Here is a 25,693-nt window from a genome sequence, read left to right as displayed (position 1 = left end):
GACTACTGGGTACATAACGAAATGAAGGCAGAAATAAATGAAAGCAATGAGAATGAAGACACAACATACCAGAATCTCTGGGACACACTTAAAGCAGTGTGTAGAGGGAAATTTATAGCACTAAATGCCCACAAAAGAAAGCAGGAAAGATCTAAAATTGACACCCTAACATCACAATTAAAAGAACTAGAGAAGCAAGAGCAAACACATTCAAAAGCTAGCAGAAGGCAAGAAATAACTAAGACAAGAGCAGAACTGAAGTAGATAGAGACACAAAAAGCTCTTCAAAAAATCAATGAATCCAGGAGCTGGTTTTTGAAAAGATTAACAAAATTGATAGACCGCTAGCAACACTAATAAAGAAGAAAAGAGAGAAGAATCAAACAGATGCAACAAAAATGATAAAGGGGACACCACCATCAATCCCACAGAAATACAAACTACCATCAGATTAATATAAACACCTCTAGGCAAATAAACTAGAAAATCTAGAAGAAATGGATAAATTCCTGGACACATACACCCTCCCAAGACTAAACCAGGAAGAAGTTGAATCCCTCAATAGACCAACGGGCTTTGAAATTGAGGCAATAATTAATAGCCTACGAATCAAAAAAAGTCCAGGACCAGATGGATTCACAGCCGAATTCTACCAGAGGTACAAAGAGGAGCTGGTACCATTCCTTCTGAAATTATTCCTATCAATAGAAAAAGAGGGAATCCTCCCTAAGTCATTTTATGAGGCCAGCGTCAGCCTGACACCAAAGCCTGGGAGAGACACAACAAAAAAGGAGAATTTTAGATCAATATCCCTGATAAACATCGATGCAAAAATCCTCAATAAAATACTGGCAAACCGAATCCAGCAGCACATCAAAAAGCTTATCCACCATGATCAAGTGGGCTTCATCCCTGGGATGCAAGGCTGGTTCAACATATGCAAATCAATATATGTAATCCAGCATATAAACAGAACTAAAGACAAAAACCACATGATTATCTCAATAGATGCAGAAAAGGCCTTCAACAAAATTCAACAGTCCTTCAGGCTAAAAACTCTCAATAAACTAGGTATTGATGGTTCATATCTCAAAATAATAAGAGTTATTTATGACAAACCCACAGCCAATATCATACTGAATTGGCAGAAACTGGAAGCATTCCCTTTGAAAACTGGCACAAGACAGGGATGCCCTCTCTCACCACTCCTATTCAACATAGTGTTGGAAGTTCTGGCCAGGGCAATCAGGCAGGAGAAGGAAATAAAGGGTATTCAATTAGGAAAAGAGGAAGTCAAACTGTCTCTGTTTGCAGATGACATGACTGTATATTTAGAAAACCCCATCATCTCAGCCCAAAATCTGCTTAAGCTGATAAGCAACTTCAGCAAAGTCTCAGGATACAAAATCAATGTGCCAAAATCACAACCATTCCTATATACCAATAACAGACAAACAGAGAGCCAAATCATGAGTGAACTCCCATTCACAAATGCTTCAAAGAGAATAAAATATCTAGGAATCCAACTTACAAGGGACATGAAGGACCTCTTCAAGGAGAACTACAAACCACTGCTCAACGAAATAAGAGGACACAAACAAATGGAAGAATATTCCATACTCATGGATAGGAAGAATCAATATCATGAAAATGGCCATATTGCTCAAGGTAATTTGTAGATTCATTGCCATCTCCATCAAGCTACCAATGACTTTCTTCACAGAATTGGAAAAAACTACTTTAAAGTTCATATGGAACCAAAAAAGAGCCCACATTGCCAAGACAATTCTAAGCCAAAAGAACAAAGCTGGAGGCATCATGCTACCTGACTTCAAACTATACTACAAGGCTACAGTAACCAAAACAGTATGGTACTGGTACCAAAACAGAGATGTAGACCAATGGAACAGAAAAGAACCCTCAGAAATAATACCACACATCTACAACCATCTGATCTTTGACAAACCTGACAAAAACAAGAAACTGGGAAAGGATTCTCTGTTTAATAAATGGTGCTGGGAAAATTGGCTAGCCATATGTAGAAAGTTGAAACTGGATCCCTTCCTTACACCTTATACAAAAATTAATTCAACATGGATTAAAGACTTAAATATTAGACCTAAACCCATAAAAACTCTTGAAGAAAACCTAGGCAATACCATTCAGGACATAGGCATGGGCAAGGACTTCATGTCTAAAACACCAAAAGCAATGGCAACAAAAGCCAAAATTGACAAATGGGATCTAATTAAACTAAAGAGCTTCTGCACAGCAAAAGAAACACCATCAGAGTGAATAGGCAACCTACAGAATGGGAGAAAATTTTTACAATCTACCCATCTGACAAAGGGCTTATATCCAGAATCTACAAATAGCTTAAACAAATTTACAAGAAAAAATCAAACAACCCCATCAAAAAGTGGGCGAAGGATATGAACAGACACTTCTCAAGACATTTATGCAGCCAGCAGTCACAAGAAAAAATGCTCATCATCACTGGCCATCAGAGAAATGCAAATCAAAACCACAATGAGATACCATCTCACACCAGTTAGAATGGTGATCATTAAAAAGTCAGGAAACAACAGGTGCTGGAGAGGATGTGGAGAAATAGGAACACTTTTACACTGTTGGTGGGACTGTAAACTAGTTCAACCATTGTGGAAAACAGTGTGGTGATTCCTCAAGGATCTAGAACTAGAAATACCATTTGACCCAGCCATTCCATTAACTGGGTATATACCCAAAGGATTATCACACATGCACATGCACACATATGTTTGCATGCACACATGCAAAAAAGACACATGCACACATATGTTTATTGTGGCACTATTCACAATAGCAAAGACTTGGAACCAACCCAAATGTCCACCAATGATAGACTGGATTAAGAAAATGTGGTACATATACAGCATGGAATACTATGCAGCCATAAAAAAGGATGAGTTCATGTACTTTGTAGGGACAAGGATGAAGCTGGAAACCATCATTCTCAGCAAACTATCACAAGGACAGAAAACGAAACACTGCATGTTCTCACTCATATGTGGAAACTGAACAATGAGAAGACTTGGACACAGGGTGGGGAACATCACACACTGGGGCCTGTCATGGGGTGGGGGCAGGGGGGAGGGATAGCATTAGGAGATATACCTAATGTAAATGACGAGTTAATGTGTGCAGCACACCAACATGGCACATGTATACATATGTAACAAACCTGCACATTGTGCACATGTACCCTAGAAGTTAAAATATAATTAAAAAAAAATAAAACGTTAAAGAACTTACTTTAAAAAAAAATGAAGTACTGATACATGCTGCAAAAATGGATGAACCTTGCAAACATGCTAAGTGAGAGAAACCAGTCACAACAGATCACATATTATATGATCCCTTGTATGTAAAGTGTCCAGAAAAAGCAGATTTATAGTGATAGAAAGTAGGGATGAAGTCAGAATTGCATCAGAAATATGCTAATTGCTACCATATTTCTTTTTGGGGTGAAAAATTTATAATATGAAAATATTCTAAAAATGATTATGGTCATGAATACACATCTCTATGAATATACTAAAGGTCACTGAAATATACACCTTAAATAGGTGAATTATATTGTATGGAAATTATATCTTAATAAAGTTGTTATTAAAAAGACTGCACTAAAAAGAACATGCAATTTATATATTTATGTAAAATTATATATGTATTTATATATATATTTCCCATATATGTATATGGGAAATGTAAGTATAAGTAAAATAAAAGGTTAAGAACAAAATGAAATTCAATTATATCTCAAGGCCACTATTTCTTCACTTATAAAGTAAATATTATATTTCCAGTTATTTCATAATGCTGTTTCAATTTATGTAAAGCACTTATGCTGGTATATATTAATCACTCAATAAATGCTCTTAACATTAGTGATGATAAAAAGATACTTTCTAAAGAAGTTCAAGTGTCTTTCATACTTACCTCCATTGTAAAACCTATGACTTTGAAACATTGCTCAATTAATTCATACTGGGATTTATAGAAACTATTATTCATGATGTCTTGTACTGTTCTGAGGTGGTCATTTTGTAGGTACCTAAAAAAAATATAAAAGGAAGGATAAAAGTCTAAAATTAAGGGAAAAGTGAAAGTATTATTGATGAAAGCTCAACCTGGTAGATTACCTGGGAGGCTTATTTTCAGGCAGTTTGTAATGGGCTAGTTTCTTCTTTTCAGCCAAACCAGCATAAATGTAGTAAAAAATATGAAAATTTTTTTCTCCACTGGAAAAAAAGATATTTACAGTAAGGTAGTTAGTAAGAACATTTCTTGCTTAAGTTACTTGACAATATAATTATTTGAACAACGACTGTGAGTGCTGATATGGGCTTTTCTGAATACTGCATTTTGGCTTTCTGTGGTCATTATTGTTGTCATTATTTTCAACAACCACTGTCATTAAATTCCAGAAATTATCTTAATCACTTCATAGGAATCATTCAGTATACATTCGTGAGTGACTTCCAGGCACTGTTCCAGGCGCTGGGGATATAGCAGGAGCAAAACTGTCAAAAATCCCTAACTTCTTGGAGTTTACATGCCAGTGGAGCAGACAGAAAAAGAATAATGTATACAGCCATGCCAGTGGTTACAAGTGCTACATTGTCTCATTAACCCACCATAAGCCCCTGAGGTGGTCATGTGTTTCCTATTTTATGGAGAAGGAAACCGAGGATTAGAGCTGTCAATCTCCCCCAAAGCCACAGAGTTGATGATTAATATGGATTTGAATCAGGTCTATTTGACCCCAAAGCCCACGCCTTTAACCACCTTTTAATATTGTCTTTCTGAGACTCAGTTTTCTCACTTGTATGAGGAATCTCTTTCTTATAAGTCTCAAATCCCATGACTCTGTGATTCTAAGTAGCATAACTAGCATTTTCCAGATGCTGCAATAATGCCATTAAGGGAATATGATTACAACAAGGTAAGTTTCCACTTCAGGATGTTCCACAACATAATTTCTTGGACCTTGGGGTCCCCTCTCCTTCCCTCATGTCTTCCTTCTGCTGTAGTGGGCTCCAGGGAAAAATCACACTTTCAGGCTCTCTGCTGAAACAGCAGAGGATGAACTTCCTGCTCTATAGTTTCCCCATCTCTACTTCCCTGCTTTACTTCCACTCTTGATGAGCCTAGTGGTCAGCTGGGACACCCTGGGGTTTGCATCTCTCTGTGGCATTCCCCTTCTCGTCCTCCCACTAGGATCTCCTCCTGTTTTAGGATGGTCCTCAATCTTCACTTCACTGTTCACTCCATTATCACCAGGCTCACAGGCTGGGGTTGGGGCAGAGTAGGATTCCTTTTACAGTGGTTAAATTAATTATGTCTCAACCAGAAGGACTTGCTGTCTTCACTTTTTTCTATTGTTACTTCTCTTTCCATTGGTATAAAACTGTCATCCCACCACAAAGCTTTGGATGCCACCATAGGGGTTGGGGCAGGAGACACTAAATTGTTGTGGATACTCCCCTTCCTGCCACTTTTGGCAGTGGCCTGAACTGTGCTCTGGGTCCTCAACTCATCACACCCAAACTTCCGGAGCAGCCTGCATCCCCTCTTGCCCTGCTCCTTTCCTTCACCCCCTCCACAGCCTTTATCTGCAAACTTAGGGGGCCAATGAAATACTTTCAGAAAAGGAATTATTATTATTAAGCTTATTTTTAGTAGAACAGAGGAGCCTTTGAATTCTTTTCCATATGAAGTACATGGAACGGAAAAAAGCCCACTTCATGATATGCATAATTACACGCAAATTATTTTACTTAAAAGGTAAGAAAGGATTTAAAAACATTCCAGGGTCTTCTCCCCCTGTATATTATGCAGTATAATCTCAGTGTAGATGGAAATTTACTATTGCTCTCTTTAGAAATTATTCATTCTTGCCGCGTGCGGTGGCTCACGCCTGGAATCCCAGCACTTCGGGAGGCCGAGGTGGGCGGATCACAAGGTCAGGAGATCGAGACCATCCTGGCTAACACGGTGAAACCCCGTCTCTACTAAAAATACAAAAAATTAGCCAGGCGTGGTGGCAGGCACCTGTAGTCCCAGCTGCTGGGGAGGCTGAGGCAGGAGAATGGCATGAACCCGGGAGGCAGAGCTTGCAATGAGCCGAAATCGTGCCACTGCACTCCAGCCTGGGCAACAGAGCGAGACTCCATCTCAAAAAAAAAAAAAAAAAAAAAAGAAATTATTCATTCTTTCAGTATGTAGAAGTTTTCCTCAGAATCAACAGTAACTCAGATATATCCATATGTATTTACTCTTCCAATAATGCAGTGGAGTTTTAGAACAACTGTGGCTTTATTTTATAATCTCTAGTTTTGATCCAAGGTTCTGCCAAAAGCCATCACAAGAATAATTTTTTACAGAAGCTCAATAAGGACTCCAACACATCAGTCATGTAGGTTTAAAATAACATTAAAGGTTTGATACTTGTGACAGACACGCTAATAATTATTGAAGGTACCCTGTTTGGTCTTTCTTGAAAGTTAACAAATTGAAATACTTAATATGAAAGGGTAGAGTTTGATAAGGTGAATAATGCAGATCTCTGGTCTTCCTTGTTAGTATTTCAAAAGGAAGGAAGACATTTCTAAAGAGAAAAGTAACAATGCTATTGGTTAGCATGCATTCTGCACTGAAACTCTCCCCTGAGTGAAGAGAGAGTCGGGGGGTCTTATATAACTAGAGAAGGATAGTTCCATTCCAAAAGAAAAGGGCTATGGGAAAAGAAACAGATTTGAGATGTGTATTCACTTGAATTTGAGATGGTAGCAGGATATGTAGGTAGTTGGCAATTTTAAAAAAAATGTAAATGTTTTTCAGTTTTAAGAGAGGGGGAGAGGTATGTCTTTGGGTGTCAATCACGTAGAGCTCTCTGTTGAGGCCATAATGTCAGAAGAATTTTTGAAGTGAGAGAGTGTAGAGAAAAAACGAGAAAAGCTGCAGGGACAAATCTTTGGTAAATATACAATGTGAGACTGGATGGATAAATCTAAAACAGAAGAAAAATTCAGGGAGGTAGGAGAGGAATCAGGAGAATCTAGTCATGGGGCAAAGAAAAGTGAAGGTTTCAAGAAAAGGGGTGGTCCAGAGGCTGGGTCCTTTCCTTCAGAACCCATCCTATTCTGTTACTTGTTGTGGTCACCAGTGATAATGCAAGTAACACCAACATTGCATACAAGTGAAGTTAGAACAAAACTGAAAGTTTCCTTTAGTTCTTGTCTTTTCTCACCACAAAATAATAAAAACTTCTCTACGACTGGCACAGCATATAATTCAGTTTGCTTTCTTCTAATGAAGCACACTGACTGTGCACTTCACTCATGTACATTGTATCAGTTAAGTGCTAACAATGTGATTGTTAACATTAACTAATACAGTGCAATTGTGAATGTTAACACTGTACTACATTGTTCACAATGTACACTAATTGTACATTGTATCAATTAAGTGTTAACAATCATGATCACATTTGTATCAGTTAAGTGTTAACATTTGTGATTGTTAACAATGTACATTAATTGTACATTGTATCCGTTAAGTGTTAAAACTTAGACAAACAATATTAATGGATTTCTCTTCATCAGTTTACATTTATTGAGAATTATAATTTGAAAAGATCTGGAGATACTATTGGGAATATACTGATCTTCAGCGGACAATCAGAAAGTTAAAGAAACAGGAAAAGAACACACCTCCAAAGCTTACCCGGGGTCACGAACCATATCAAGCTGTGCTTAAGAACACAGAGCACTACAGTATCCCACACTTGCTAATGTTTTCAGGGGTTCCCAGGTCAGGACCGCCTGGGGACAGACATGGGGTCTTGCAAGTTACCAAATATAATTTCTCTTATTGTGGCCTCATTCCTACTTGTGGATCTTCTAACACTTCTTCAGAGTGAGTTCCACTCAGCTGCTTGCAGGAAGGCCCTCAGGGCTGTCTCATATGTGTGTTCACCTGCTTTGCACCCTGAAGCTTACCTGTGCAGCCAAGGCCTCTGACAGCCTCAAACGGTGTCAAAGTACTCACAAGGGTATAGCTTAACTCACCTGTGAAACCTTTGAATCTTCAACGAAGTGGCCAACAATCAGACTTAGAAAGCTAATAATGAAGGTTTGCATTCTTTTTTTTTTGAGACAGAGTCTTGCTGTGTTGCCCAGGCTGGAGTGCAGTGGCACGATCTTGGCTCACTGCAAGCTCTGCCTCCCAGGTTCATGCCATTCTCCTGCCTCAGCCTCCTGAGTAGCTGGGACTACAGGCGCCTGCCACCACACCTGGCTAATTTTTTGTATTTTTAGTAGAGATGGGGTTTCACCGTGTAGCCAGGATGGTCTCAATCTCCTGACCTCATGATCCACCCGCCTCGGCCTCCCAAAGTGCTGGGATTACAGGCGTGAGCCACCGCACCCGGCCGAAGCTTTGCATTCTTAAGGCACTACAGGGTATTCGTAAAACAACACTTTCAGTTTTTCCTTTTTAATCACAGCTCCCTCCTTGTAAACTCTCTCCTCCTGGATATGCAGTCTCCTCAGTCCCCTCCTCTTGCCACCTACCTGCTCAATCTTAGCAGATGAACTCATTTCCTACTTTCATGAGAGACTAGAAACCAATGAGTGATCAGCACGTTTTATATCATACTGTGAGCTGTGTTACCACAGGAATCCTGCCTTACTTGGCTTTATGTCTCCTGTGCCTAGCACACAGTAGGCACTCAATAAATATGTGTCAAATAGACGGATGGCTGGATGGATGCATGAATGGTGGGCTTGGGAGTCAGACAGAAGGATGAGGCTTCAAACTCCAACTCAGTCATTGCCAGCTTTTTGACATTAAGCAACTTATTAAAATTCTCTTAGTTTCTCACTTTTAAAAGAGAAAATGACACCCTGTCACATGACTGGAAGAATTAAAAGAGATAATGGCTGTAAGGTGCTTAGTGCAGTGCCTGACATAGAGTAATTGCTCCATAAATACATTTCCCTTTCTCCACAATGGAGAGGACCATGTCAGCCACTTATTTATGTCTCCTATAGAGTCCTGTTAAGTGCTGGGGACATCAGAGAAATGCAATCAATGCTTGCTGAACTAAACTGTAGTAACAGGAGGAAACTGCAATGGAAATAGCTATAATTTGTATTTATGAGAATTATCTAGCATTGCCTTCAATAGGTTCATCTTATTCTTGAAATTAAGTAGCCTCTTTTAAAATTTTCTCCTTGAAAACTATCTATGTTTAGAAAAGGATTTAAGTCACAAGTTATAAGATAGTACTATCATCATTAGAAAGGTAATCTAAAAATAAATGTGGTCAGAGATTGAGCTGGGATGACATCGCCAGAGGCAAAAACCGAAGAAAAGAACAAAATGTCTTAAAAGAAAGGGTGAGTTCATTAAAAAAAGATACTCGTCTGCTCTAATTCTTCCCTGCTCCTCAAATCATTCTACACTCTTCTTTGTCTTGCTCTGGGACCCCAAGGGCCAATCCCTACAGCCTGCAATTCTTGGGCTCCCTTGCTCTCTGGCTTCCATATGGGTTCAGCCAATAGGAAGCACAGGCAGGAAACAGGCGAATGAAGGAGAGAGAGGCTGGGATGTTATCCCCTTGCTCTCTCCCTGACTGGCTGTGTCCCATTAGGGCCATAGCTCCAGACAGGCAGCCCCTGATCCACAGCTGCAGCTGGCACCAGGCACTAGTGCTGCCCCTCCCTCCACCTGCAGACAGGAAGGCAGCCATGGCTCCTCACCCCTGTTAGTCCATGGGCTTCTCACCATTCATTCTTGGCTCTTCAATGCCCATGTGATCTCTGTAAACAGTTTTCTCAGTTAAAACCCTTGAGCTTGTTCTTTCTGTTCAGTACCCTGATTGATAACAGTGCAATTAAATTTATAATTTGTAAATGTACCTATTAAGAATTCTTCCATCAATCACATGTCTGATATTTTCATATTCATAGGTCACTCAAAGCTCCTCTGGAACTTAAAAATGCAATTAAATTAGGTGAAAGAAAAAACAGATATAAAAATGGAAAAAGTGTTATAAATTAAAGACAGCTGTGCTCAAATTATAACTGAGTTATATTTCCACTTGATTGTGAATTTGGAATTTGGAATGCTTTTCCCCAATAAGCAAACTTGTAAAATTAGAATAGTTCCTTAGGGGGAAAAAAACTACTTAATTCACAGCATGCCTTAAATATAATCCTGACTATGCTATTTCTTAGAATGCATCCTACGATATTTCAGTAAGCATTAATGATATTATTTCTATGGTTACAAGCTCAGGGCCTCATTGTGTAACTCCAGAGTGTTCTGTTCATGTGCTCTTCTATATGAACTGAGTTCCTGCACTCAACTCCATAGAATACACCGTGAATTATATCCCTTGACATTGTGCAACATGGTGGTGCCATCTACCAATTAGTTACTCTTAAGTAGTTCTTCCTGAAGGGCCTGAAGGAGAAGCTTACACAATTATGAAAGCAGAACAAATGGTTTTGAGAACTAGCTAAGTTTCCACATCTGCTAAGATCCCGCGGTCCTTCTAGTTATGGGTGGCAACGGCACTGACACACATGTCCACTGAGTTTTGGGCACTGGACAGACATCAATAAATAGTATCTGCCATTTACTGAACATCTTCAATATCCCAGGTACTGTGCTATATGTTATTTCTAATCAACTATTAACACTACTATTACTACTAATGGCTTAAACTTATGGGGTTCTTAATATATGCCATTCATTGTGCTATATACTGTAGGTACCTTGTCTTAATTGATAGGTAGGTACTAATGCTATTTCATTTTAAAGATGAAAAACAGAGGTGCAGAGAGGTTAAGTAAACTGTTTCAAATCATACATACAATGAATTACAGAGCCAAGATCCTGTAAGAATCTTTAAGGTTTAAATATCTTACCCAAAGTGGATTAAAACGGTGTGGTACCACAGTTGAAAGCCATATGTGTTTAATAATCATTCCTTCCATTTTTTTTTTTTTGAGATGGAGTCTCGCTCTGTCACCCCAGCTGGAGTGAAGTGGCATGATCTCGGTTCACTGCCAGCTCCGCCTCCTGGGTTCACGCCATTCTCCTCCCTCAGCCTCCCGAGTAGCTGGGGCTACAAGCACCCACCACCACGCCCGGCTAATTTTTTGTATTTTTAGTAGAGATGGGGTTTCACCATGTTAGCCAGGATGGTCTCAATCTCCTGACCGCGTGATCCACCCGCCTTGGCCTCCCAAAGTGCTGGGATTACAGGTGTGAGCCACTGTGCCCGGCCTCCTTCCATATTTTTAATTGAAGACCAAAGAGTAATTTTCCATATTAGGAGCTGGACTCCAGGCAACTTCTATTCATGACTTACTCATGAATTGAATGACACCAAGCTTGAAGGCACTTACATTAAATAATAATGTACTAATATAAAACAAGAGCTTATTATGTTACTGTGAATTAACATGACATACTACTACAATAATGTAGAGTATGTTTAGCATAAAACCAACATAAGAAAAATGAAAGATTCTAACTTGCCATGCTTTTAAGCAAAATAATGTAACCACCAGGGTACAAATCCAATGTGTAACGATAGTTTCCTCTTTAGAATAACAAAGATGTTTTGTGAGACAGGAGAGAAACTTTGTCATTAAGCTACAAACCCGCAAAAGGAATTCATTCAACTTAATATCAAAGCATTATGAAGAGTATTGATGGCTTAAATCAGCCAGCAATAAAAGGTCAATATGATAAAGCTCCTTCCTGAATCTTTTATTTGGTCCCTTGTATATAAACATAGGAAGAATAGAATACAAAGATCTATTTATATATGCTAGCATTTAAAACAGAAAAGGACTCAGTTACTTCTAATTAAATTTCACATTAATTTTGTATAGATAAATATATTCTCTGCTATGTCAGAATGGTCTCTAATTTACGCTGTTAGTACCTCTATGATGGGCTTAGGTTTTCTATCTGGCAGCATAAATTTTAGGTTATACATTAATTCCTCTATTGGATGTAACATATATTTGAGAATAAGACAGTGCTGATGGATCTCTTCATTCTCAATAGTAAGTGCTTTGCATATAGTAAGTGATAAATAAAATTTTATTGAATGAGAAAGACATTTTACTATTAAAGTATTATGTTTGCTTCTGCTTCCTCCAAAATAGGAGAGATTTGAAATAAACTTACATAGCTTGGTGGATAACTCGGGATTTTTCCAGGAGATATTCAGAAATCTGTGCTCCCACTACCGCTCCAGAAGAGGTGAATTTCATTTCTAAGTATTTTCCAAATCTGCTAGAATTGTCATTTATAATAGTGCAGGCATTGCCAAAGGCTTCTACCAAATTGTTCACTTGTAAAATCTTCTCTTGCAAGGTTCTGTTATTAGCCTAAATAGAAAATATTAAGATATTTTTAAAAACATAAAAAATTAATTTGGTATATAATGAAATGTCTCTTCTTTGGTAAGCAATTTATGTAGATATAAACATACAAAAGCATGTTCCTGATATATTGGCAGATGTTACATCCTGGTCTATTTTCCCCCTCCCATATGTGGATTCACTCACTTGTTTTCTTAAAAAGGGACAAGGAGATATTCTATACTTTTCTATTCAAGCGCAGTTCTGTTCAGTGCCTGATTTACAAACATAATTTATAAGCAGCCTACGCACATTGAAGTACACCTGTCATTCTGTTATTCCTCCTCCACCTGCGTGGGCCCCCATCCAAATAGTCCCCAAAGCCAGAACCACTTTACTGGCTTCCACAGAAGCTGCTAACCCTGAAACTAAGAGAGGAAAGATAACTCATTAATTCAGAAGCAGAGAGAAGGGAATAATTGTGAAAACTGAGAACAGCTCAGAAGTATGAATGGGAGGAGTGGAAACCAGGTCAAGGTTAGCAGGCTTACATGGCTCTACCTCTATTCCTTCCCCACCTCTTATGCTCCTCTCCTCAAAGAAGTATGTTCCATTTTTCTTCTTTACCACTTCAGTTGAAATTCTACTGAGTAGAAATTTATTTGGGTTAATAGCCAATCACTTTTACAAAGGCATTCCAACCTCTGCCCCCAGAGGTTTAGGGAGGTATTAGTTATTCACAACTTGGCAGAAGTTAGCTTAAGTAGATTTTCAGTGTAATACCTACCTTAATACTTTACCGAGATCAACTATGTTAGAGTTACTGCAAAGTTTCTATGTTGAGGGAGAGCAGTGGTGGCTATTTCTGGAACATAGACTACATTAGAATTTGAGTGGGTTGGAGGGGGCATTCACAATGAAGTTTTGAGGCTGTGTAAGAACTTTGGGTATCTTATAAAAGAGGCAATAAGGTGTGGAAGAAGAGTGTAGTAATTTGGGGGATGAACTTGGCTCTTTAAAATGCTTTGGGCTGGCCTTGCACCCATGAAAAAGGTGAGATAACATTTTCATTGGCATATATTGAATAGCAGTGACCTGTTAAGTAAGATTTGGAAGACTGCATATTTCAAAGGTAAGTTCTATCTACCAAACACCTCGTTTTTGCATCTGGTAAATCCTTATCAAGGACATAAGTAAAAACAAGATAAGATGTGATAAGGGTAGGAATCTGAAAATATATATATACCTATCCCCAATTAACATTAATCTAAAACAAGACAAAGAGATTAGATTAAGAAGTTTGCTGACATCTACAGAACCACATTCACACACAATTAATTTATCATTGATGAGAAACTCTATCAGCCTGCAGATCAGGACAGAATAGCAAAGACCCGTGAGAAAATTCATTCAAGTGTTCAGCTCCTCTACACCAGGATAATATGCTGTGCCTCACTGCCCCCGTGCCCCACATTAAATCTTATCTCACTGTTGTTAAAACCTTTTAGAATGATACTTCTAGAAGTAAGGAGAGGGTGGTTGATGGGCAAGGGGGAAGAAAAGGCTGAGATCAGACACCTGGGGTAGCACCACCTTTTTTTTTTAGGTCTCTCCTGGCTCTTCCACTCCCGAAAGGGTCACAAATCTGGTAAGGAGAGGTTATATTAAGCCACTAGGTCAACACATCTGATAGAAGATACTAAAACCAGTCAATTATTTTTTAACAGCAACATGGAATTCTTCCTACTCATCATTTTGAATTAGGAGTGACATCAAGATGGTTGGCCAGAAGCTCCTAGTGCTCTCCCTCTGATATGGTTTGGCTCTGTGTCCCCACCCAAATCTCATGTCAAATTGTAATCCCCACGTGTCAGGGGAGGGGGCCTGGTGAGAGGTGATTAAATCATGGGGGCGGATTTCCCCCTCACTGTTCTTGTGATAATGACTGAGTTCTCATGAGACCTGATGGTTTAACAGTGGCATTTCCCCCTTTGCTGCCTCTTTCTCTCTCTCCTGCTTTGTTGTGCTTGCTTGCCCTTCACCTTCTGCCCACGATTGTAAGTTTTTTTGAGGCCTTCCCAGCCATGTGGAGCTGTGAGTCAATTACACTTCTTTTCTTTATAAATTACCCAGTCTCAGGTAGTTCTTTATAGCAGTGTGAGAATGGGCTAATACACCTTCAAGCCTCCCCCTACCTGCAAATGAGTAAACAAGTACATTTAAACCAAAATAACTAAAGGAGCACACTGGAGAACAGCAAAAAAGCAGCCAGAAGAAATCCTGTAGAGCACGGAAACCCAGAAAGGCCACATAGAGAAGGAAAAGAAACACCTTACCTTTACCACCTCATGCCCCAAGTGGGGATCAGCTCACAAGCAGGAAGGAAGGACAGCTCCCTGCAAGGAAAAGGTAAGCAAGATACCCCAGCAACCTCTCTCACTACTGTGGACACTTGCAGTCATTGCGACTGGAGACCCCTGCAGTCTGCACAGGCTCTGAGCCTGGCTGAGGGAGCTCCCTTCCACCAGAGCTGAGGCAGCACTCTGCTCTCAGAGGGCCGCAGGCCTCCTGAACACTGAAGTAGTTGCTGCCACCACACATCTCAGGTGAGGTGGCACCTTGCACCCTGAGCCTCCAAGCCTCTGGCACACCTAAGCAGGAGCATCACAGATGATCAAATATGTGGAAATTAAACAAGGTACTCCTGAACAACCAATTGGTCAAAGAAGAAAGTAAAAGGGAAAGTAAAAAAATACCTTGAGACAAACAGCAAGGAAAACACAACATACCAAGCCTATGGAATGCAGCAAAGGCAATTCTAAGACAGAAGTTTGTAGCAATAAATTCCTACATTAAAAAAGAAGAAAGCTCCAAAATAAATAGTCTAACATAATGCCTCAAGGAACTAAAAAATAAAGAAAAAGCTAAAGCCAAAATTAGCAGAAGAAAGGAAAAAAAATCAAAATCTGAGCAAAAATAAATCAAATAGAGAAAGGAAAAACTATAAAAAGAATCAATAAAATGAGTTTCATTTTTGAAAAAATAAGATTGACAAACCCTTAACTAGTCTAAGAAAATAAGAGAGATGACTAAGATAAGTAAAATAAAAAATGAAAGTAGAGAAATTACAACAGGTGTATCAGAAATAAAAAGGATCATAGGGACTATTATGAACAATTATCTACAAGCAATTTGGGTAGCCTGGAAGTAGATAAATTCTTAGAAAAATACAACCTACCAAAATTGAGTCAGAAAGAATTAGAAAGCCTGAACAGACCAAAAACAAATAAAGAAATTGAAGAAGTAATCAAAACCTCCCAACAAAGAAAAGCCTAGGATAAGGTGGCTTCACAGCTGAATTCCACCAAACATTTGAAGAAAATCAATACCAATACTTCTTAAACTCTTCTAAAAAGTAGAGCTAGGCCAGGCATAGTGTGGCTAATGTCTATAATTCCAGCATTTTGAGAGGCCAAGATGGGAGGACAGCTTGAAGCCAGGAGTTTGAGACCAGCCTGGGCAACAAAGTGAGACCTCATCTGTACAACGAATTATAAAATTAGCCAGGTGCAGTGGCACATGCCTGTAGTCCCAGCTACTTGGAAGGCTGAAGCAGAAGGGTCGCTTGAGCCCAGGAGTTCAGACACTGCAGTGAGCTGTGATTATGCCACTGTACTCCAGCCTGGGTGACAGAGTGAGACTCTGTCTCTAAGAAAAACAAATAAATAAATAATTAAAAAAATAGAGCTAGAGGGAATACCTTCAACTACATTTATGAAGCCAGCATTACGTTACTACCTAACCCAGATAAAGGCATCACAAGAAAAGAAAACCACAGGCCAATTTCTCTGATGAACACTGATGCAAAAATCCTCAATAAAATATTAGCAAACCAAATCCAATAACATATTAAAAAGATTATACATCATGTCCAAGCAAAATCTATCCCTGGCATGCAAGTCTAGCTTAACATATGCAAATCAAACAATATGATTCAACATATTAACAGAATCAAAGATTAAAACCACATAATCATCTCAACTGATGCAGAAAAAGTATCTGACAAAGTCCAACACCTCTTCTTTTTTTAATTTTAAAAGTGGAAGCTGTATTCAATTTTTCCTATGAGATTACAAAAAGAAAAGCATTTACTAAGGTATAACTCATAAGAGGCCTTTCTATAGCTATTATCTTTCTATTGACAGAATGTCCCAGATTCTTACGAACTATCTAGAAATTGCTGGTCTTGCTGTGATTTCCATTAAGTAGCAGTATTCTGCAGGAAGAAAAAGGACATTTTGGAAGGAATGAAATATTCTTTGGCATCACCATTTTCATTCCCAAAGAATACAGGAGCTACCTACAATTATATAAATTTTTCTTAGGCAATAGAAAAGCAATATTAAGCAAAGTGGTAATAAGTTTCTTTACGTTGAGAAGACACATTTTTTAATATTTTTCAACCACAGAATAATCTACATCATATATATGAGTTATAGAAGACCATTTAACATACCACAACATCTTTTCTTGATGTGGACTCTCAACAGTTTAGGTATAGAAAGAAAGTTCCTCAGCATAATATAGGCAATTTATGAAAAATTCACAGCTAACATTATAATCAATGAGGAGAAACTAAAAGCTTTTCCAATAGTATCTGTTACAATGCAAAAAATGCGCACTCTCTTCACTTCCATTCAACATAGTACTGGAAGTACTAATAAGAGCAACCAGACAAGATAAAGAAATAAAAGGCACCCAAATCAGAAAGGAAGAAGTAAAATTATCTCTACCATAGAGCCAGTTACCTACAGTCAACCATGGTCTAAAACTATTAAATGAAAAATTCCAGAAATAAATAATTTCTAAGTTTTAAATTGCATGCCACTCTGAGTAGTGTGATTAAATCTGTGCCACCCCACTCTGTCCCACCTGGAAAGTGAATCCTTCCTTTGCCCAATGTATCCATGTTGTATATGCTACCCACCTGTTACCCAACTTAGTAGCCCTCTCAGTTTGTCACAGTATCACAGTTCTTGCAGTCAAATAATCTTTATTTTACTTAATGGCCCCAAAGCACAAGAGTAGTCATGCTGACAATTCGAATACAACAAAGAGAAACCATATTTGCCTGCTTGAAGTGAAAAGATGAAAGTTCTTGACTTCATAAGGGAAGAAAAAAAATTGTATGCTGCGGTCTACTATCTGTGAAATTGTGAAGAAGGAAAAAGAAACTTGTGCTAGTTTTACTGTCACATATCATATTCCAAAAGTCATAGTCACAGTGCATGATCAGTACTCAGTTAAGATTAAAAGGCATTAAATTTGTGGGTGGAAGACATGAACAGAAAATGTTTTCTGATTGGTGTCAGTGGTTGCACCAGAAAGCATTGAGCCTATACAAAGAAGTCAGCAAGGGATCCCCTGAAACAAGTGAAACTAAGGTATTCTGAGAGAGAGAGAGAGAGAGAGAAAAAGAGAGAGAGAGAAAGAGACCATATTCATATAACCTTTATTACAGTATAGTGTTATACTTTATTTTTAGTTATTGTTAATCTCTTATTGTGCCTAATTTATAATTTAAACTTTATCATAGGGATGTTTAGGAAAAAATAGTATATATAGGGTTTGAAATTATCTGCAGTTTCTGGCAACCACAAGTGTATCTTGGATCATATCCCCTGTGGGGTAAGTGGAGACTACTGCATTTGCAGATAACATGATCCTACCTGTAAAAAGCCCCAAATATCCCAAAAAAATAACTGTTAGAAGTAATAACTCAATAAAATCTTAGGATACAAAATCAACATATAAAAGTAAATAACATTTTTATAAATAAATAACAACCTAACTGAAAAAGAAATCAAGAAAGCAATCCCATTAACAAAAGCATAAAAACAAAACATTAGGAATAAATTTAACCAAGGAGGTGACAGATCTGTACACTGAAAACTATAAAACAGTGATGAAAGAAGTTGAGGAAGACACAAATAAATGAAAATTTATCTCAGGGATCGGAAGAATTAATGTTGTTAAAATATCCATACTACTCAAATATACAGAATCAATGCAATCCTTATCAAAATCCCAAGGCATTCTTCACAGAAACAGAAAAAAACAATCCCAGGAAGGGTCAATCATCATGGCAGATGGGAGACAGGACTAGATTGCAGCTCCAGAAAGAGCAGCGTGCAGAGGCTTGCATTGTGAATTTTAGCTCCAGATCAACTGCAAGAACAAACCAGCAATCTCAAGAGGACCCATAGATCCTCTAAAGAAAGCGGATTGCTCCTGCAGGACCCGGGAGACCCTCCAAATACTGTGAGTGTCCCAACTGCAGAAGTGGGAAAGGAAGACCCTCCTCTCCCGAACACACATCCCCACTGGAGAAGCTGAGAAGGTGAAGGTCTGTTTGTGGGAGAAGTTTCTGGCTTTACACGGAACTGAATCCATTTGGAGAGCCAAGCACAATATAGGGGTAGAGGAAGCAGCAGAAAAGCCCTGGGAGCTTCCTGGGTCCCCTAGCAGGCCACTCCTGCCTGGCACCACAGGGATCCAATGGTAGGGTGGTCAGAGGAGCAGGAGGTAAAACTGCACAGGAAGAAGGAAATCTTTAGCTGAACTTTGTAACAATTTGAATGGGGCGAGAAGTCTGGCCCCAACTCGGGGGAGGGTGCCAATCTGGTGTGCAGACCCCACAGGCAGGGAAGAGCCAAGCACTTTTCTTTTGCAGCTGGGAGGAGGATAGCCTGCGGCAGGTTTTCAAGCCCATTTTCACCCTCTACCTAGAAATGGACTCGGAGTTGTTGCGGGGGCATGGTGGGAGTGAGACCCGCCCTTCAGTTTGCATGGGAGCTGGGTGAGGCCTTTGACTGCCAGCTTTCCCCCATTTCCCTGACAACCTGCATGACTCAGCAGAAGCAGCAATAATCCTCCTAGGTACACAACTCCAGTGACCTGGGAATCTCACCCCCATCCCACACAGCAGCCACAGCAAGACCCGCCCAAGGAGAGTCTGAACTCAGACACACCTGGCCCTGCCCCCGCCTGACGGTCCTTCCCTACCCACCCTGGTAGCGGGGGCGGGGGGGGGGGGAAGGGCATATAATCTTGGGAATTCTAGGGCCCCACCCACCGCCGGTTCCACCCCATACTACCACAGCTGATACTTTCTGGAAAGTGCCACCTCCTGGCAGGAGGCCAACCAGCACAAAAATAGAGCATTAAACCACCAAAGCTAAGAAACTTCATGGAGTCCACTGCACTCCCCCTACTACCTCCACCAGAACACGTGCTGGTATCCATGGCTGAGAGACCCATAGATGGTTTACATCACAGGACTCTGTGTGGACAACCCCCAGCAGCAGCCCAGAGCTGGGCAGACTCGCTGGGTGGCTTGACCCAGAAGAGAGAAAACAATCACTGCAGTTCAGCTCACAGGAAGCCACATCCATAGGAAAAGAGGGAGAGTACTACATCAAGGGAACACCCTGTGGGACAAAAGAATCTGAATAACAGCCTTCAGCCCTAGACTTTCCCTCTGATAGAGCCTACCCAAATAAAAAGGAACCAGAAAACCAACCCTGGTAATATGACAAAACAAGGCTCTTCAACACCCACCCCCGCCCCGCCTCCCCCCAAAAAAATTACACTAGTTCACCAGCAATGGATCTGAACTGAAAAAAAAAAAAAACCCAGATTTACCTGAGAAAGAATTCAAGAGGTTAGTTATTAAGCTAATCAGGGAGGGAACAGAGAAAGGTGAAGCTCAATACAAGGAAATCTGAAAAATGATACAAGAAGTGAAGGGAGAAATATTCAAGGAAATAGATAGCTTAAAGAAAAAGCAATAAAAAATTCAGGAAACTTTGGATACACTTTTAGAGATGTGAAATGCTGTGGAAAGTCTCAGCAAAATAATTGAACAAGTAGAAGAAAGAAATTCAGAGCTCGAAGACAAGGTCTTCAAATTAACCTAATCCAACAAAGACAAAGAAAAAAGAATAAGAAAATATGAACAAAGCCTCCAAGAAATGTGGGATTATGTTAAACAACCAAATCTAAGAATAATCTCTGTCCCTGAGGAAGAAGAGAATTCTTAAGGCTTGGAAAACATATTTGTGGGGATAATCAAGGAAAATTTCCCTGTCCTTGCTAGAGACCTAGACATCCAAATACAAGAAGCACAAAGAATACCCGGGAAATTCATCACAATAAGGTCTTCATCTAGGCACACTCTCATCTCATCAGGTTATCCAAAATTAAGATGAAGAAAAGAATCTTAAGAGCTGTGAGACAGAAGCACCAGGTAACCTAAAAGGGAAAGCATACAGATTAACAGCAGATTTCTCAGCAGAAACCTTACAAGCTAGAAGGAATTGGGACCCTATCTTCAGCCTCCTCAAACAAAACAATTATCAGCCAAGAATTTTGTATCCAGCGAAACTAAGCATCATATATGAAGGAAAGATACAGTCTTTTTCAGATGAACAAATGCTGAGAGAATTCACCATTACCAAGCCACCACTATAAGAACTGCTAAAAGGAGCTCTAAATCTTGAAATGAATCCTGGAACCACATCAAAACAGAACATCTTTAAAGCATAAATCACACAGGACCTATGAAACAAAAATATAAATTAAAAGCAGAAACAAAAAAACAAAATCAAAAGTACACGAGCAACAAACAGCATGATGAATGCAACCGTATATCACATCTCAATACTAACATTGAATGTAAATGTCCTAAAGGCTCCACTTAAAAGATACGGAACTGCAGAATGGATAAGAACTCAACAATCAACTATCTGCTGCATTCAGGGGACTCATCTAACACATAAAGACTCACATAAACTTAAAGTAAAGGGGTGGAAAAAGGCATTTCATGCAAATGGACACCAAAAGCAAGCAGGGGTAGCTATTATTATATCAGACAAAACAAACTTTAAAAGAGACAAAGAGGGACATTATATAATGGTAAAAGGCCTTGTCCAAGAGGAAAATATCGCAATCCTAAACATATGTGCACCTAACACTGGAGATCCCAGATTTATAAAGCAATTACTAATAGACCTAAGAAATGAGATAGACAGCAACACAATTATAGTGGGAGACTTCAATACTCCACTGACAGCACTAGACAGGTCATCAAGGCAGAAAGTCAACAAAGAAACAATGGATTTAAACTATACCTTGGAACAAATGGACTTAACAGATATATACAGAACATTTCATCCAACAACCGCAGAATATACATTCTATTCAACAGTGCATGGAACTTTCTCCAAGATAGACCATATGATAGGCTATAAAACGAGCTTCAATAAATTTAAGAAAATTGAAGTTATATTATACCAAGCACTCTCTCAGACCAGAAGGAATAAAACTGGAAATCAACTCCAAAAGAAACCTTCAAAATCATGCAAATACATGGAAATCAAATAACCTGCTCCTGAATGAGCATTGAGTCAAAAACAAAATCAAGAGGGAAATTAAAAAATTCTTCGAACTGAACAACAATGACACAACCTATCAAAACCTCTAGTATACAGCAAAGGCGGTGCTAAAAGGAAAGTTCATAGCCCTAAATGCTTACATCAAAAAAACTGAAAGAACACAAACTGACATTCTAAAGTCACACCTCAAGGAACTAGAGAAACAAGAACAAACCAAACCCAAACCAAAGAGAAGAAAGGAAATAACCAAGATCAGGGCAGAACTAAATGAAATTGAAACAAACAAACAAAAAACCCCACAAAAGATAAATGAAACAAAAAGCTGGTTCTTTGAAAAGATAAATAAAATTGATAGACCATTAGCAAGATTAACCAAGAAAAGAAAAGAAAAAAATTCAAATAACCTCATTAAGAAATGAAACAGGAGATATTACAACTGACACCACTGAAATACAAAAGATCACTCAAGGCTACTATGAACACCTTTACACACATAAACTAGAAAACCTAGAAGAGATGAATAAATTCCTGGAAAAATACAACCCTTGTAGCTTAAATCAGGAAGAATCAAATACTCTGAACAGACCAATAACAAGCAGCAAGATTGAAATTGTAATTTTAAAATTACCAAAAAAAAAAAAAAAGTCCAGGACCAGATGGATTCACAGCAGAATTCTACCAGACATTAAAGAAGAATTGTTACTAACCTTTTTGACACTATTCCACAAGATAGAGAAAGAAGGAACTGTCCCTAATTCATTCTATAAAACCAGCATCACCCTAATACCAAAACCAGGAAAGGATATAACCAAAAAAGAAAACTACAGACCTATATCCTTGATGAACAAAGATGCTAAAATCCTTAACAAAATACTAGCTAACTGAGTCCAACAACATATCAAAAAGATAATCCACCATGATCAAATGGGTTTCATACTAGGGATGCAGGGATGGTTTCACATACACAAGTCAATAAATGTGATACACCACATAATCAGAATTAAAAACAAAAATCACAAGATCATCTCAATAGATGCAGGAAAAGCATTTGACAAAATCCAGCATCACTTTATGATTAAAACTCTCAGAAAAATTAGCATACAAGGGACATATCTTAATGTAATAAAAGCCATCTATGACAAACCCACAGCCAACGTAATACTGAATGAGGAAAAGTTGAAAGCATTCCCTCTGAGAATGGGAACAAGACAAGGATCCCCATTCTTACCACTCGTCTTCAACATAACACTGGAAGTCCTAGCCAGAGCAATCAGAAAGAGAAAGAAATATAGGGCATCCAAATCAGTAGAGAGGAAGTCGAACTGTCACTATTTGCTGATGATATGATAATTTACCTTGAAAACCCTAAGGACTCCTCCAGAAAACTAGAACTGATAAAAGAATTCAGCAAAGTTTCCAGATACGAGATTAATATATACAAATCAGTAATTCTTCTATATACCAACAACAACCAAGTGGAGAATCAAACAAAAAACTCAACCCCTTTTACAACAGCTGCAAAAAAAAAAAAAAAAAAAAAACCTTAGGAATATACCTAACCAAGGAGCTAAAAGACCTCTACAAGGAAAACTACAAAACACTGCTGAAATAAATCATAGATGACATGAATGGAAACACATCCCATGCTCCTGGATGGGTAGAATCAGTATTGTGAAAATGACAATACTGCCAAAAGCAATCTACAACTTCAATGAAATCCCCATTAAAATACCACCATCATTCTTCACAGAATTAGGAAAAAACAATTCTAAAATTCATATGCAACCAAAACAGAGCCCACATAGCCAAAGCAAGACTAAGCAAAAGGAACGAATCTTGAGGCATCACACTACTTGATTTCAAACTACAGTATAAGGCCATAGTCACCAAAACAGCATGGTACTCGTATAAAAATAGACACATAGACCAATGGAACAAAATAGAGAACCTGGAAATAAATCCAAATACTTACAGCCAACTGATCTTCAACAAAGCAAATAAAAACATAAAATCTGGAAAAGACACCCTTTTCAACAAATGGTGCTGGGATAATTGGCTAGCCACATGTAGGAGAATGAAACTGGATCCTCATCTCTCACCTTACACAAAAATCAACTCAAGATGGATTCAGGACTTAATACCTGAAACTATAAAAATTCTAGAAGGTAACATTGGAAAAACCCTTTTAGACATTGGCATAGGCAAGGATTTCATGACCAAGAACCCAAAAGAAAATGCAACCAAAGCAAAGATAAATAACTTGGACCTAATTAAACCAAAGAGCTTTTGCATGGCAAAAGGAAAAGTCAGCAGAGTAAAGAGAAAACCCACAGAGTGGGAAAAAAAATCTTCACAATCTATACATCTGACAAAGGACTAATAACCAAAATCTACAATGAACTCAAACAAATCAGTAAGAAAAAAACAAACAATCTCATCAAAAAGTGGGTTAAGGACATGAATAGACAATTCTCTAAAGAAGATGTAAAAATGGCCAACAAACATATGAAAAAATGGTCAACATCACTAATGATCAGGAAAATGCAAATCAAAACCACAATGTGATACCACCTTACTCCTGCAAGAATGACCATAACCAAAAAATCAAAAAACAGCAGATGTTGGTGTGGATGTGGTGAACAGAGAACACTTCTACACTGCTGGTGGGAATGTAAACTAGTACAGCCACTATGGAAAACAGTATGCTGATTTCTTAAAGAACTGAAAGTAGAACTCCCATTTGATCCAGAAATTCCACTACTGGGTATCCACCCAGAAGAAAATAAGTCATTATTCATAAAAGATACTTGCACACGCCTGTTTATAGCAGCACAATTTACAATCGTAAAATCATGGAACCAACCCAAATGCCCATAAATCAATGAGTGGATAAAGAAACTGTGAGATACATATAGATATATATGAGAGAGACACATATATATCATATATATGAGAGACATATATATATCATATATATGAGAGAGACATATATATCATATATATATGAGAGAGACATATATATATCATATATATGAGAGACATATATATCATATATATATGAGAGAGACATATATATATCATATATATGAGAGAGACATATATATATCATATATATATGAGAGACATATATATCATATATGAGAGACATATATATCATATATATATGAGAGAGACATATATATATCATATATATATATATATGAGAGACTATTACTGTAAGTGAAGTAACTCAGGAGTGGAAAAACAAACATCGTATGTTCTCACTGATACATGAGAGCTAAGCTATGAGGATGCAAAGGCATAAGAATGATACAGTGGACTTTGGGTACTTGTGGGGAAGAACTGGAGCAGGGCAAGGGATAAAAGACTTCAAATATGGTGCAGTGTATACTGCTTGGGTGATGGGTGCACCAAAATCTCACAAATCACTACTAAAGAGCTTAGTTATGTAACCAAATACCACCTGTATCCCGATAACTATGGAAAAATTAAAAAAAATAAATAAAAATTAAAAAAGAAAAAATCCAAAAATTTGTATGAAATAATAAAAAACCTCAACTAACCAAAATAATTCTGAGGAAGAAAAATTTAGAGCCATCATTACTTCCTGATTTAAAACTACATGACAAAGTTGATAGTAATAAAAGCAGTATGGTACTGGCATAAAAACAGACACATCAACTAGTGGAATAGAAATGAAAGCCCTCAAATAAACCCAAACATTTACGGTCAACTGATTTTTGACAGGGGCACTAAGAGGACATCATAAAGAAAGGATAGTTTTTCAATAAATGGTGCTGGGAA

The 25,693-nt window shown here is 38.3% G+C and overlaps 1 protein-coding gene across 21 annotated transcripts in view; it reads right to left on the bottom strand.

The window, feature by feature from the left end:
* The window catches only part of MYO3A (myosin IIIA), a 278,304-nt gene that overhangs the window by 111,869 nt on the left and 140,742 nt on the right, over positions 1–25,693 (bottom strand). For 20 of the 21 annotated variants that reach the window (XR_930494.1, XM_011519498.3, XM_011519500.3 and 17 more), the window contains 3 exons: positions 12,259–12,461; positions 4,185–4,283; positions 3,982–4,096 (listed from right to left, as the gene is read on the bottom strand). Coding sequence is in view for 20 of the 21 variants with exons in the window: in XM_011519498.3 (XP_011517800.1) it covers positions 3,982–4,096; positions 4,185–4,283; positions 12,259–12,461 (417 nt within the window). In the remaining variant the exon portion in view is untranslated. Of the gene's footprint in view, positions 1–3,981; positions 4,097–4,184; positions 4,284–12,258; positions 12,462–25,693 lie in introns of those variants that run through there. The other variant, XM_011519512.2, reaches the window with a different exon arrangement.

The sequence above is a fragment of the Homo sapiens genome, chromosome 10, assembly GCF_000001405.40.
Source record: "Homo sapiens chromosome 10, GRCh38.p14 Primary Assembly".
Taxonomy (NCBI): Eukaryota; Metazoa; Chordata; class Mammalia; order Primates; family Hominidae; genus Homo; species Homo sapiens.
Note: the sequence above shows the minus strand (reverse complement) of the source record. Positions and strands in the feature narration are given on the sequence as shown.